Source organism: Homo sapiens, chromosome 10 (assembly GCF_000001405.40).
Source record: "Homo sapiens chromosome 10, GRCh38.p14 Primary Assembly".
NCBI classification, from domain to species: domain Eukaryota; kingdom Metazoa; phylum Chordata; class Mammalia; order Primates; family Hominidae; genus Homo; species Homo sapiens.
In genome coordinates this window covers 68866961-68882163 of record NC_000010.11, presented here as the reverse complement: position 1 = coordinate 68882163, position 15203 = coordinate 68866961, and the positions used below count along the sequence as shown (strand labels likewise).

The window sequence follows — 15203 nt, the reverse complement described above, 5'->3', positions numbered from 1 at the left end:
AGAAACCAAACACATACAGTGAAGTACAAATAGACAAAAATTTATTACTCTACCTGGGTAATGTTTCATCAAACGCTCCAAAAGTGATTCCTGCGTTACTACAATCTGAGCTGTATTCATATCAGATATAGCACAGCAAAGAACTTCACCCAAAGGTACGAACTGAGATTGAGTTATTGGATTCATTTGCACTGGAAAGACATCACCTAAATTGGAGATTTAAAAAAAAGGGGGAGGGGGTTGATAAATTTGATATAGTATAAAATGTTTGGAATTAGTGAAACAAAAATAAAGACTAATAGGTAGAATTGCAATTCTTTCATCAGTCTTTACTCAGAATCTGTTAACATGACATGTACAATGACAGAAACTATGCAAGAAAAAGATTTACATTGTGGTCTCTACTTTTAAGAAATGTGTATTAACTGTCTCTACAAGTAAGAGATGGCAAGATTCCATTAGAAAGGCTCAAAGTATTATCAGAGTTCAGGAGGTCATGCAATACTTAAATACTAAATATACTATATACCAGCAGTTTACCATCTTTCAAACTATTTTTTCATATTAGCTATCTTGAGAAAGGCAGACACAGGATTATTTCTTTACTTAAAATATATAAAGTTATAGAAAACTCAAGTAATGGTCCCAAGTCTAAAAGCAAGTAAAGTGACAGAAATAGGTCTTCTGACTCCTGATCCAGTATTTTCACCATTCCACATTTTCCTGATTGGGATGATCAGGAAGATTTGAAGAAAGGCAGAAGTGTTTTCCAATGAGCAAGAAGACATGAAGCAAAACCATGGAAAGCACATTTAAGGGCATGGATAGAGTTATCCTGGTTCAATAGAACTTAAGGCTTAATACAGGACCAAAGTGGAAGACAAGGCTGGAAATGTAAGCTAGACTATATTGTCTTTCCTCCTAGCCAGTCTATTAAATGTTCTTCTTAACCTGCCATTACTCAGGTTGAGTATTGGATTCTGCTGGATATCCATGGAAACCCCTCAATCAATTGGAAATGAAAGACTAAGACTCAGGAAAGAGATCTGGGAATCAACTAATAGAGATGAGATCTGAAGCTAGAGTGGAATAAATTATTTAATAGGAGAATAAAGAAAAGCACCAAGAAACATCAAACTAAGAAACAATCTACATTTAAGACAGAGTAGGGACCAGATGTGGTGGCTCAGGACTGTAATCCCAGTATTTTGGGAGGCCGAGGTGGGCGGATCACCCGAGGTCAGGAGTTTGAGACCAGCCTGGCCAACATGGTAAAACCCCATCTCTACTAAAAATACAAAAATTAGCCGGACACGGTGGCGGGCTCCTGTAATCCCAGCTACTCAGGAGGCTGAGGCAGGAGAATTGCTTAAAACCCAGGAGGTGGAGGTTGCAGTGAGCCGAGATGGCGCCACTGCACTCCAGCCTAGTGAGTGAGCCTAGGCAAAGCCTAGACAGACTGAGACTCCATCTCAAAAAAAACAAAAAACAAAAAACAGTAGGAATTAGGAACCCACAAAAGAGCACATACCTCTTGGCACATACCAAAAGTATGAAAAAAAAAAGGGCTTCAAAAAAATAGTGGTCAACAGTATCAAATGCTTAGAAGGAAATCCAAAGGGTTGAGGAAGGAGAAAAGCCATTGGATTTATTGATTGGAAGGTGCCACTGGTGACTTTTAAGAAAACAATTTCAGCCTGGCCACAGTGGCTCACACCCATAATCCCAACACTTTAGGGAGATCACTTGAGGCCAGGAATTCCAGATCAGCCTGAGCAACATAGCGAGATCCAATCTCTACAAAGATAAAAATTTTAAAAATTAGCCAGGATGGTGGTGTGCCTGTCGTAGCTGCTAGGGGGCTAAGGTGCGAGGATTACTTGAGCCCAGGAGTTAGAGGCTGAAATGAGCTATGACTGCACCATTGCACTCCTGCGTAGGTGAGGGTGAGACCCTGTCTCTAAGAAAACAAAACAAAAACAAAAAAAAAAAAAAAAAAGGAAAGAAAGAAAACTATTTCAGTAGAAAAGAAGACAGAAATTAAAGTTCCAATTGAAGGAAAGGAAGTTGGTGAGAAAAATGTAAAGTTAATGGGTGTTCCTTGTAGAGCAGCGTTTCTCAACTTTGGCACTTTTGACATTTGGGGTGAGATATATATAGGATGAACAATGGTCCCAGTATGCCCAGGACTGAGGTGCTTCCTGGGACACAGGACATTCAGTGCTATAAGCCTATAGCCAGGAAAGTTACTGGCAAACTGGGATAAGTAGCCACCCTAGCCAGATAATTTTGCGGTGGGAGGCTGCCCTGTGCATTGTAGGATATTTAATAGCATTATGGCCTCTACCCACTAGATGCCAGTAGCATTTCCCACAGTTGCAGCAACCAAAAATGTCTCCAGACACTTCCAAATGTCCTCTCGATGGCTAAGTCATCCCAGTTGGAAACCACTGCTCTAGACCATTTGTATGCAAAATCTGATGGTGAATAAGGAGAAATAGATCATAAACCAGAAAGGAGTAGGATCCAGTGAATATGACTGGATGCTGTGGTTTTCTTAAAATAAGATCTGTGTCCCTTTGGATGCAAAAAGGAAGGGCTTAGTGGAGATGGTGGACATGATTCTGGGAGAGGGGAGATCAGTAAGATAGCAAGATCCCAAAGAAGGGGAAAGGGAAAGTGTATCAAGGGCGTAAGTAGAGAGGCTAGCTTACAAATGAGGAAGATGCTACTCTATCTGAGACTTGAGAAAATAATACAGAGGGTGGCAGAAGACCACAAATATATTGAGGCAGAGAAGGAAAAAAAATATTAGCACAGCAAAGTCATCTGACTTCTGTCAAGTTAGAAAGAAAATAGAAATGAGAGGAGGGAAAAATGGGAATGAGAGGATGGCGGGTGGAAAGGGGGTTTGAGGAGCTATTCTCAAAGTACTAGGAAATAAAAAATGAGTAAGAAGATTGTGAAGGAGCCCTAAGTCCAGGTGATTTATGCATAGTTTTTGGCAGAGGGGTGGCATTTTGTAATGGAAAAGGGTGAGAGCTGGGGGAGGCCAGCCCATGCCTCTAAAACTTTAATGTGCATATGAGGATCACCAGTAGATCTTGCTAACGTGGATTCTGATTCAGAGCCCCTGATCCTGCACTTCTAACAACCTCCCAGAGATGTTCACACTGCAGGTCTGAGTACTACTCTTTGGACTGGTAGAGGGTTAGGGTGTTAATGACAGCAATGTTAAAGTAGCTAACCATTTAACAAACATGATCCTGGGGCTGAATGGGGAGTCAAGTATAGCCAGAAGGAAGCTAAAGAATTAAGAAAGCTTGATTATGCTCTGCAGTTAAACTCTCCCAGTGACAGTAGAGAAAGCAGTACATTGTACTGGTTGTTGAGGGGCCAGGTGTGAAGGGTTGAAGCCCAGAGCTGGTAAGTGGCCAGTACTGTATTCTTATTGTATCTGCATGAAGATAAAGGACTTCAACAAGGAAATCATAAGCAGTTTGCTGTTATACTTTCCATTGTTCCCTTGTTTGCTTAAGCTTCTCTATCTGGCCTTGGAAGGTCACATCACAAGGTAGAATTGCTGTCTGCTTCTGCAGCCTGGGAATGATCTCCTCTAGGTGTGGCTGTGGCTATCCCACTGGGTGATTCTCAGAGGCCTATACCACTCTGAAAAGCTAGGATGAATGGCTAATCAATTAATTAGCATTTCAAAGAGTGGCGATAGATGATGTCCTGAAAATCTGTCCAAGCGGGGCATTAATTTACCTAAAACTCAAAATCCTCCTTGAAACTCAACTTCTGAACTGAGGGTAACAAGCCTCTATCCTCACTCCCTCTTTTCTTTTTTCCTTCCTCATCTGAGTTTTACTTTCTTGGCTTTCATCTCCCCACTCAACCAGACAAAATGTGAAATTAAAGTACAATTTTAAATATTTTTATGCTTCTTTGATATAACTGTATGTGCTTAGTTAAAATAAGTGGCTTTAAGCTTTTATATCTCTCTTCCCTACCTCCCTAAAAACATCTTTTCCTGTGATCTTGAATTGATTACCCATCCCCACTGCACTTGGAACTCAGAAAGTAATACTCCATAATGAAGGCCTCAGAAGCAAGAGGTTTTTTCTGGCCTTTTCCTATCCTCCTATCTTGTTTCTAAGGACAGCCATAGAAACAAGAATCCTTCTTCCCCAAGGCAGGTCATAGAAACCAGAACCCCCTTTCTCCAAATCCAGCCATAAAACCTAGAGGATTAGAGGCCCTTAATTTTAAAAGAGGGGGGAAAAGTTTCCCTTCCTTGAAAGACAAGGGCTAGATATAGAGGGCAAAGCCTGAAGGCTTTCCTTAGCCACATAATACCCATTTGAGCCTCACTTCACCTTTTCTTAAAACCAGGCACTGTGAACTTGGAGGTGGGGTGGGGGAGAACACTGAAAGAGAGAAAATCAGCATGTCATCTGGTGTCCCTGCTGTGTCCGCCTGCAGGTGGCTGCCCATTTCTGTGCACTGGAAAACATAGTAGGGCTGTCTCCACTATGCCTTTGGGCTAGAACTGAAGCAGCCCATTTTCTAGTTCAATCCTTAGGTTTGTTTCCTCTTTTCATAAGAAAACTAATAGTCAAGATAGATTTTCATGGGGCTGGGAGAGAGGTGCAAAGGGCTTCCTGTATCTTTGTTTGCAACCTCCTGTGAATCTATAATTACTTCAAAATAAGAGCAAAAACTTGATTTTTCAAAAAGCACTACTTTTAATTACCAAGGAGAAATGTATGAAACACAACTTTTTTCTTACATTTTTCAAACCCCACCTTTTTAAAACAACCCTAACACTGTTTGCCAAATCCAAAGATACTCTTAAAAAATTTATTCATAATTCCTACTATGACATGGGGATGGGTATTTTAAAAGAGTGAACAAATCTACTATCAACTAGGAAGACTAATTGCCTTTTTTCCCCCCTTAAAATTAATACAACTAAATGTAAACTTCACTTTAGAGGACACCGTTAATTGCTATTCGCCTCTGCTGTGGAGCTCCTCTAGACAAAGCCTAGAGAAAGTTTCTCAGTACAGTTCCTTCACAGTCGTTGCTAAGATACATCCTTCAGGTGCACAAATCATCGAGTTTCCTTTGTGCAGGAAAGCTGAGTGCACCCTGACACGGGAACACTTATGACAGACATGGGGATCATTTTCGAGCTTCAGTTATGGTCTGTTTCAGTGACTTTTGCACTCCTTTGCTTTTTGGAATGCATCTCTTAGAGTTTTTCACCAAAAATTAACTTTCTATGCAGAAGATCCCACTTATAGATGTAACCAGATTCCACAATAAGAGAAGGCCAGACCTTTGGGTCTGTCCTCAACTATGAGGGAGTAAACTGAAGAGCACTCTTCAGTCGAGGCCAGCTGTGGACTTTTGACCCTTGAGCTTAGCGGGGCTCAGAAGGCTAAGGAGAGACTTTGAGCCAGAGCATAAACAGTTGACAACAGCGTTCTCTGTTTACACAGTCTTGTGCTCTTTGGTGCCTCAGAAATGAAAAAAGTGTTTAGGCTGAAAGACTGGTTTCACAAAAAATAACAACAAAGTAGAACCATAGAGCTGAGGTTATTTGTGCCTGCTACACTTTCTGAAAAGGTTTGTTGTTGTTAATTTACTGATTCTTTGCTGTACTACGAAAGGATTTAGTTGCTGAATAAAATTTTTTTGTTGGCCAGGTGTGGTGGCTCATGCCTGTAATCCCAGCACTTTGAGAGGCTGAGGGGGGCGGATCACCTGAGGTCGGGAGTTCGAGACCAGCCTGACCAACGTGGAGAAACCCCGTCTCTACTAAAAATACAAAATTAGCTGGGTGTGGTGGCGCATGTCTGAATCCCAGCTACTCAGGAGGCTTAGGCAGGAGAATCATTTGAACCCGGAAGGCAGAGGTTGCGGTGAGCCGAGATCGCGCCATTGCACTACAGCCTGGGCAACAAGAGTAAAACTCTATTTCAAATATACATATTCAGAATATATATATATATATATATATATATATATATATATATTCTGGTAAAGACCAGAAAGCAACCCCCACTCCTCACCGCCACAAAAAAAAAAAGTCAAAAGTAATGATAAAAGCAAAGTATGAGGAGTTTAAAAATTATTCTTTTACAAGTCCACTCATTTGAGGAAAAAAAGTGCAAAGCAAATTAAATGTAGCATGTGGATGCCCAATTCACAAATGAAAATACTGAGCTCTTCACTATCAAAAGCTTTTCATCCAGTGAAGTCTAGAGCAGGCCCTTGTAGCAGACAATGTTAGAATCAGCCTCCTGTAGGATGGACGTGGATTCATACAACCCCAAGCAATCAGTCTCTGCTCCCTGGTGCCTAATGACAGTGGCCTAGAAAGCCCCTGGCCAATAGGAGCAGGCCCCTGGGAAAGTGTGACTTGCTCTTGGAGTTGGTGACAATAGCTCAACAATATTGTTCCAGTGCAACCCAAGACCTCATCAAAGTTCTGAGGAAAAAGAAGTGGTTTCTTTATGTAAGGACACAAAGGCCCCTTCCATAAGCCTGAAGAAGAAGGCCTCTAGAATATCCTATCCTGGCTGTTTTCTATCAGAAAAACAAGGGGCTCAAAGAGCCACTTCCTGGCCAATTCAGGAGGTGTGAATACTCATACCCCAATGTAGAATATCAAGAGGTGCACCCATGACAAATAGAAACATCTCAAGATTGCCTTCCTGCCAGACCCAGCAGGGTAGCTGTAGTGGAGCCAGTGAACACTCCCAAGAACTGTGGTACTGGAAAGATCTTCAACCAGGGGCCCTGTGGACTCCTAAAATCTTCCAGTTACAGATGATCACTGGGAAACATTAGCAAAATGAAAATAAGCCTAAACTTTGCACTCTTGTAAGAGGGAGAGTTGGCGTCAGCACATGGGCCTACCCAGTGAAGTGATTTTCCCCCAGGTTGGGGGGCGTGAGGATCACAAGCCGAGGGATGTGGACCTTGACAAGACCTGCGCCCTGAGAGAAGGTCTGACACAGGGCAACAATGCCAGGCTTCAAATAGTACATTCACTCCACATCTTGAAGGTAACTAAAAATTAGTTGAAGGTGAGCTTTGGTATCATAAGCATTTTAGTGGAAACCCAGCCAGACACAAAGAAAGCCTGTGACCCTGGGTCACCAAGTGACTAAAAAAATCCATTTCCCGGCCATTTCAGGAGGTGTGAATACTCACACCACAATGAGAATCATTACAAAATCATTACAATCCACCTGGCCCAATTCTGTGTTTGCCTTGTCCACTCACAACACCCTTGGAGGGTTAACTGAACTGGGGTCTGCTCGCCTGGCACAGTAAATCCAGGTATCTACATCAAGGCTTCTTACAGCTATAGAAGAGAAGGCATTTATTTGTAGGGTGCCAAGGAAGGAGGACCAGGCAGCCATTGTTTAAATCCTGACCTCCCAGTGTCTTGTAAGCAAGGGTTTTTTTTTTTTTTTTTTTTTTTTTGAGACGGAGTCTCGCTCTGTCGCCCAGGCTGGAGTGCAGTGGCGGGATCTCGACTCACTGCAAGCTCCGCCTCCCGGGAAGCAAGGGTTTTTAAAGGCAGGGGAAGGAGAGTAGAAGTTACAAGCAAAATTATAAATTAATATATGGAGGTTATACATTGGTTTTGGCTTAAAAGGGCAGGATATCTTGAAGGGGCTTACAGATCGTAGGTACATTTAAAGATTTTCTATTTTAATTGGTTAAGGAAGAGAAGCTTTGTTTAAAAGTCTGGGGTCAGTAACTGGCTCAGGGGTATGACTCCCTCCAAGTCCACTAGGAAGAAATTTAGAACAAAGAACGCAGGTCAGGGTTTTGTACTTAATTTTTTCTTATCTGAGGTTTATGTGCCAGTGAATCTGTTGGGTGAGGGTCTTCAGAGTAGGGGTCCAAGTTTCTGAAAGACAACTCAGGGACATACGTTAAGATGTTATCTTTAGTTTTTATAGGGAAACCAAACACCTCTGGATTCTAACTTTTTTGGCTATTGTTTTAGGTTACTGCCTTTTTAATAAGTTACTTACTTTTTAGGACTAGGTAGCAAAAGAAAAAAGACAAGATGGTAACTTTCCCAAGGTGGATTTAAGCAAAAAAAAAAAAAAAAAAAAAAAGGCTACCTAGCTATCTGCAATTTTTCTTAAACTCAGGATTAAAAAAAACAAAAAACAAACAAAAACGCTGGGTGCAGTGGCTCACGCCTGTAATCCCAGCACTTTGAGAGGCCGAGGCGGGTGGATCACGAGGTCAGGGGTTCGAGACCAGCCTGACCAACATGGTGAAACCCAGTCTCTACTAAAAATACAAAAATTAGCTGGGCATGGTGGCGGGCGCCTGTAATCCCAGCTACTAAAGAGGCTGAGGCAGGAGAATTGCTTGAACCCGGGAGGTGGAGTTTGCAGGAGATCGCACCACTGCACTCCAGCCTGGGCGACAAAGCGAGACTCCGTCTCAAAAAAAAGAAAAAAAAAAAAAAGAAAAAAAAAGAAGAAGAAGAAGAAAAAAAAAGGACTAGCTAGCTATCTGAAATTTTTCTAAAACTCAGGATTAAAAAAAAAAAAAAAAAAGGCCAGGCGCGGTGGCTCACGCTTGTAATCCCAACACTTTGGGAGGCTGAGGCGGGTGGATCACGAGGTCAGGAGATCGAGATCATCCTGGCTAACACGGTGAAACCCCATCTCTACTAAAAATACAAAAAAATTAGCTGGGCGTGGTGGCGGCCGCCTGGAGTCCCAGCTACTCAGGAGGCTGAGGCAGGAGAATGGCGTGAACCCGGGAGGCGGAGCTTGCAGTGAGCCAAGATGGCACCACTGCATTCCAGCCTGGGTGACAGAGCGAGACTCCGTCTCAAAAAAAAAAAAAAAAAAAAATGCTCTTGTTTGGGCACAGGCCCCTAAAAAGAGGGTCCCTGCTCCGTCTCAGAAGTAAAAGAATCCTTATCAAATCTGAATGTGGCTGGGCACAGTGGCTGATGCCTGCAACCCCAACATTTTGGCAGGCAAGGCTTGGAGGATTGCTTGAGCCTAGGAGTTCAAGGCTGCAGTGATCTATGATGATGGCACTGCACTGAAGCCTGGGTGACAGAGCAAGACCTTGTCTCTAAAAAAGAAAAAAAAAGTGTTTATTTTGATATCTGAGCACTCCAGTAAAACCTCAGGGACAAAATTAAAGTTTTAATAAAAACTGTACCGTTAAGGGGAAAAAAAAAAAGAACAATTACGCTTATTTTACATTAATCTTATGCTTTTAAAAGACCAAAACCAATTCCAAGAGGGTCTGCTCTTGGAATTTAAATTCTAACATTTTAAATCAGGATGCTTGAATCTGATTTTAAGGCCCATGAAAGACTGTGCTACTAATCTGCAAGACAGAGGAAAGATTTTCTTTCAGAATTCAAAAAGCACCCACATCCTAACATTTTTGTGTCATAATAAAACATGAATTTGTCATAGAATTAAATTCTAGAAAAAAATGAATCCTAGACCTGGTGCAGTGGCTCACGCCTGTAATCCCAACACTTTGGGAGGCCAAGGTGGGCCAATCACCTGAGGTCAGGAGTTCGAGACCAGCCTGGCCAACATGGTGAAACCTCGTCTCTACTAAAAATTACAAAAATTAGCTGGGCGTGGTGGTGGGTGCCTGTGATCCCAGCCACACTGGAGGCTGAAGCAGGAGAATCACTTGAACCCAGGAGGTGGAGGTTGCGGTGAGCCGAGACTGTGCCATTGCACTCCAGCCTGGATGACAAAAGCGAAACTCTGTCTCAAAAAAAAAAAAAAAAAAAAGAAAAGAAAAAGAAAAAACTAATCCCTAGCATTACTTATTTTATATTTAGAACACGAGTTTTTCTCTACTATAAGAACATTTAGTCCCTATGCAAGTGTGTTTATGGACTCAGAGCTAGGAAGTCTGCCAGAAATTCATGCATTATTGACCTTCAAGTGGTTTAACAGAGCTGCTCTAACTCAACTAATTACCCAGACACATGAAATCTGAGACCATCTTTCTGGGCGCCTGTATTGAATCACACTGTGGGAAAGGTATCTTCTATGCGCATTAGGGATGACAACAGCGTGCAAATAAAACAGCCTGCAGGTACACTCAAGTTTAATTTAAAAAAAAAGGATGTTTTGTTCAAAGTAATCCAAGAAGCTTTCGTGATTTTAAACTGCTCTTTTATCCAGTACAGAATTTCCACCAAATGTTTTTAACATTAAAATTAATCCTGAACTTTGAAAAATTGAAGCATTTGTAACAACATGCCCCTCATTAAAGATAAGATGCTGTGCAAATCTTTGATGGCTTTAAACAATTAGATCTATTGTGTTACAACTTCAAATAGGTTCAGAAAATCAAATGAAATGGAAACAATAAGAAGAAAGGTTCCAGGCCAGTAAACCAAGCCCCTCTCCACATCTCCCTTTTATTTTAGTAAAGTAAAAGAATGCAAAAACTTTCCTCCACATTCAGAAACAAAAGAGTACCAAGACAGAAGCTGGCTGCAGATCTAAGGGTAATCGGGTTATCTGCCATGGAAGCTGGAATTCTTTCTCAAGCATGGTAATGTTTATTTTTAACTCCTAGACAAATGGCTCCCTTCTGGGAAATACCCTCTGCTGGAAAGCTAAAGGCTTCCCTTGGGAAGATGAGCTGTTCAACAGCAGGAGTCCTTAGTAATGTCTTCTTTACTTATCACACTTCAACCTGCCAGAATTTAGTTAGTGGCCTCCTTTTCGGGTGATATATTCACTAATATTGACTATCAGTTGGGTCTCAGAGGGCCTGGAACAGACCCCACAATTTGGTTGTCAGCACACTGATACACCAAGAAGACAGGTGGCCCCACCCGGGGGTGCCCTTTGAGCCTCTAGCTCCCTTCCCCCATGGCCACCACCCTCACTGCGGATAGAGATACAAGGAGCCTCAGTCAGGAATGACCGACTCAAACCAGCTGAATGACTCAAACCAGCTGGCTTTTGAATAATACTAAAACGAATCCACATTTGGCCCAAAACCCTTAGGCTCTGAAGTGCCCTTTCCTACACTCTTTCCCTTCAAGGCTTCCACCCTGGATATGTTCATGACTTTATTCAGTCGTGTTAGTTTTCAATGGCTGTCAAAATCAATTACAGCAAACTTAGTGGCTTAAAACAACACAAATTTATTATCTCACAGTCTATAGGTCAGAAGCTCTGGGTGTCAGAGCCAAAACCAAAGTGCTGGCCAGCCTAGGCTTTATCAGGAGACTCTGGGGGTAGAATGTTTTCACTCTCATTTAGGTTTTTGGCAGATATCAGTTCCTTATGGTTGTAGGACTGAGGACGGCAGTCACTATTTCCTTGATGACTGTCAGATGGGAGCCTCTCTCAGTCACCTCTATTTCCTGTCATGTTGTCCCCTTCATCTTCAAACACAGAATTAAATCTGCCCACACTCTCTGACGTGCACTTCCATTGCATTGCTTCTGCTTCTTGCCAGAGAAAATTTATCTGCTTTTAAGAGTACCTGTGATTAGACAGGATCCACCCAGATAATCTAGAATAATCTCCCTAATTTAATGTCCATAACCTAATTACACCTGAAAAGTCTCTTTAGCCATGTAAGGTAACATATTCACAGGTTCCAGGTATTAGGACATGGGCATCTTTGGTGAACCATTCTACCTACCACACCAGTTACAAGCGTTGGGGGCAAGGAATAGCTATATAAATAGCAAGAGAGGCACAGGTTGTAAACTGCTGTAGTACCTATATGTCCCTAAAAGTAGTCATGCAGGAGAACATCCTTTTTTTGACCTCCAGGAAACCTGGAACAGATTATGGTGCCTCTTCTTCCCAAGATTCTGGAGGCCACAAAGGCAATGACAGTGACTAACAGGTCTAGTCATGGTGATTAACAGAAAATACCACTGTACAAAACGGGGGTAAAAAGCCCAGAACTTAACAAGTTTAGGAAGTTAGGAGAGAAAGAAAAAAATAAAATAAATAAAAATTTAAAAGTCCAGCACAAAGGTGGTTGTTTGAATAAAAAATTAAAGTTTCCCTAGATTTTTTTTTAAAGCTGTCCTTTCTATTTTCATGATCCTCACATTACAAACAAGTCCTATACTGGGGGCCAAGCAATCTGATCAGGGTATTGGGGTTCTAATCCAGATTCTGCTCTGTGACCCTGAGTAAGTCGCCTCTCTTCTTTGGGTCTCAGTTCCCTTGCCCATACACAGGGAACTGAACTAGATCAGCATTTCGCAAAAAGAGTTCTGTGGAACATTCATTCCATGAAATGCTCTCTACAAGAAAAAGGGTCCCCATGCCAAATGTTTGAGAAATGCTGCTTGGAGCCACAGTGGTATTGTGAAAGGCTCTGAAAACTTCTATAACAAACAACTACCTAGTTTATTTAACCCAATGTTCCCTGATCATATTTGACAGCAAACTCCTTTTTCCTAAGTACTGTACTACCCTTCAGCTAAGTACTGTACCTTCAGCTGTGACTTCCCTCCATTCAGATTGGCCTCTCCCTGAATAGTCAGTATCTGTCCATATCCTGTCCCTTTGTCCCTGTATCCCCCACCTACAGCACTCTTCCCCATACCTCAGCGTTTCAAAATCCTGTCATTTAAGACTAACTAAAATGCTCAGTGACTCTATCATGGATAGTTTTCTGATCCCATCAGCTGGAAATATATTCTCCTTCTTCATATGTACTATTTAATAAACATTTAACGAATGGCTACCATTGTTTAGCATCAGACACTCAGAGTAAATTGATATTATAACAGCACAGTCCCTCAATCATTCCTTATCCAGCATATATTTATTATCTACTATATACCAGTTACAAAGGTTACAAGAGCAAACAGGATACAGTCCTCACACTCAATGGGCTTTGACTGTCATGGAAGAGCAGCAGTTGGTTAAGACAATCTTAACCTATCATGAGGCCATAATTGGTAGGACTAGGACTCAGTATTCCTGGGTCCCAAGCCTGAATGCTATTCCCGGAAGTCTGTGGCTGCCTGGGCCAGGACCATCACGAGGAAGAAGAGCCAGACTGTTCCTCATAGGGCCTTGGGCCACTAAGGCAGCACGGGATAAATAAAGGAATAGTGGAGTTGGTCAGGTAGACCTGGGCTCACATTCTCTACTTCCACTTACTGTCAGTGTACCCTCTTTGAGTATTAATTAGTGACCTCAGCTCTTCAAGATGAATAATAGTATCTGGCTAAAAGGTTACTGTGGGAAAACAATCTGAAAATGCCTGGAATAGATTTGACACGTGTCAGTTCTTCTACTGATATCAGCGCTTTTTAACTTTTCTTCCCAAATTAAGATATTAACTTGATCAGACCCTGTTCCATGTCATTACTAGTACTTCAAGTTTCTCCTGTAGGGCACCAGTTAGGCACATGGATGGATTTCTTGGCCAATTCTGACTTTTCTTTTTTTGAGATGGAGTTTCATTCTTGTTGCCCAGGCTGGAATGCAAACTGCCTCCTCGGTTCAGGAGATTCTCCTGCCTCAGCCTCCTGAGTAGCTGGGATTATGCTAGGAACAGGCCCCAAGACTGGCCATAAACAAGATCTCTGCAGCACTGTGACATGCTCGTGATGGCTATGATGCTCACGCTGGAGGTTGCTGGTTTACCAGAATGAGGGCAAGGAACACCTGGCCCACCCAGGGTGGAAAACCGCTCAAGGTGTTCCTAAACCACAAACAATGGCATGAGCGATCTGTGCCTTAAGGACATGTTCCTGCTGCAGATAACTAGTCAGAGCCTGTCCCTTTGTTCTTGTGAAGAATAGTTTTAGTTAATCTATAAACTGCAGAAACGATGTTTATCTCGGGCTTACTGCCATTAAATAGGTGGGTCAAACTCTGTTCGAGGCTCTCAGCTCTGAAGGCTGTTAGCCCCCCGATCCCACTTTGCACTCTATTTCTCTGTCTGTGTCTTTATTCCTCTAGCACCGCTGGATTGGGATCTCCACAACCAAGCTAGTCTCAGCAAGCAGCACCCAAACTTGGGGCTCGAACCCGGATCGAAGGGTCGCCAGAGCGACGGTTGGAGAACGTGGAACTACACTGGAGGACACCCGAGTACTCTTAAGCAATCCCCGTGGTGAATAAAAAGGGGAGCTTAGAAGCATCAGGGTAAAAATAAGACAAGGGTCGAACAGGCATGAGGCTTATTTGAGTCTGCTTCAGCAGCTCCTCAGAAAAGGAGTGAAGGTTAGCACTAGCCGCCTTATGCGGCTTTTTAGTGCGGTAGAGAAATATTGTCCCTGGTTTCCGAACTGAGGAACTATGGATGTAGAGGTCTGGAAGAAGGTAGGCAGTGCACTCAAAAAGGCATATAAGGATAGTGCTGAGGATATTCCTGTAACTGTCTGGTCAGTGTGGGCTCTGATTCATTCCACCTTGGAACCTTTTCACACTGACAATGAGGAGGAAGGAGATGAAGGAGAGGAGTGTGATAATGTTGCGGAAGAGATAAAAGAACAGATCTGTCAACCACTTAAAGAGACCCAAGAAGGGGAAGCTTGTCCCTGCCCCTTGGCACCCCCTCAATACCTTGAAGATAATGGCCTGACCCTCTGGATCTTTCTTTTCCAGAGGACACTGGGCAAAAAGTAGTCACCCCAGTGGCTATTAGAACAGCGCCCTGAGCAACCACCCTCAGTTCTATTCAGGCAGGAATTCAGAAAGCTAGAAGAGAGGGTGATTTAGAGGCTTGGCAGTTCCCTGTTAGGATATACCCCCCAGATCAACAGGGGAATGTTATGGCTACATTTGAGCCTTTTCCCTCTAAATTACTCGAAGAGTTTAAACAGGCTGTCAATCAGTATGAACCAGGTCTATGCCTGAAGTGTAAAAAAGGAAAGCATTGGGCCAGGCACGGTGGCTCACACCTGTAATCCCAGCACTTTAGGAGGCTGAGGCGGGCGGATCACGAGGTCAGGAGATTGAGACCATCCTGGCTAACACAGTGAAACCCTGTCTCTACTAAAAATACAAAAAAAATAGCTGGGCGTGGTGGCGGGCGCCTGTAGTCCCAGCTACTCGGGAGGCTGAGGCTGGAAAATGGCGTGAACCCGGGAGGCGGAGCTTGCAGTGACTGAGATCGTGCCACTGCACTCCAGCCTGGGTGACAGAGCAAGAGGCTGCCTCGAA

The 15203-nt window shown here is 42.8% G+C and overlaps 1 protein-coding gene across 5 annotated transcripts in view, besides 2 other annotated features; it reads right to left on the bottom strand.

The window, feature by feature from the left end:
• STOX1 (storkhead box 1) overlaps positions 1 to 15203 on the bottom strand; it is a 67902-nt gene that overhangs the window by 13269 nt on the left and 39430 nt on the right. For all 5 annotated transcript variants that reach the window (NM_001130161.4, NM_152709.5, NM_001130159.3 and 2 more), the window contains exon 2: positions 54 to 206. In NM_001130161.4, coding sequence (NP_001123633.1) covers positions 54 to 206 — 153 coding nt within the window. The remainder of the gene's footprint in view (positions 1 to 53; positions 207 to 15203) is intronic.
• Positions 3390 to 3961: an enhancer, noted in NCBI's record as "NANOG hESC enhancer chr10:70637959-70638530 (GRCh37/hg19 assembly coordinates)". NCBI's record gives its function as "activates a minimal SCP1, AML or CMV promoter by ChIP-STARR-seq in naive H9 embryonic stem cells {active_cell/tissue: H9 hESC(naive)}" and the evidence as "EXISTENCE:reporter gene assay evidence [ECO:0000049][PMID:30033119]".
• Positions 5345 to 5545: a silencer, noted in NCBI's record as "peak1002 fragment used in MPRA reporter construct". NCBI's record gives its function as "represses an SCP1 promoter by STARR-seq MPRAs in K562 erythroleukemia cells {active_cell/tissue: K562}" and the evidence as "EXISTENCE:reporter gene assay evidence [ECO:0000049][PMID:32103011]".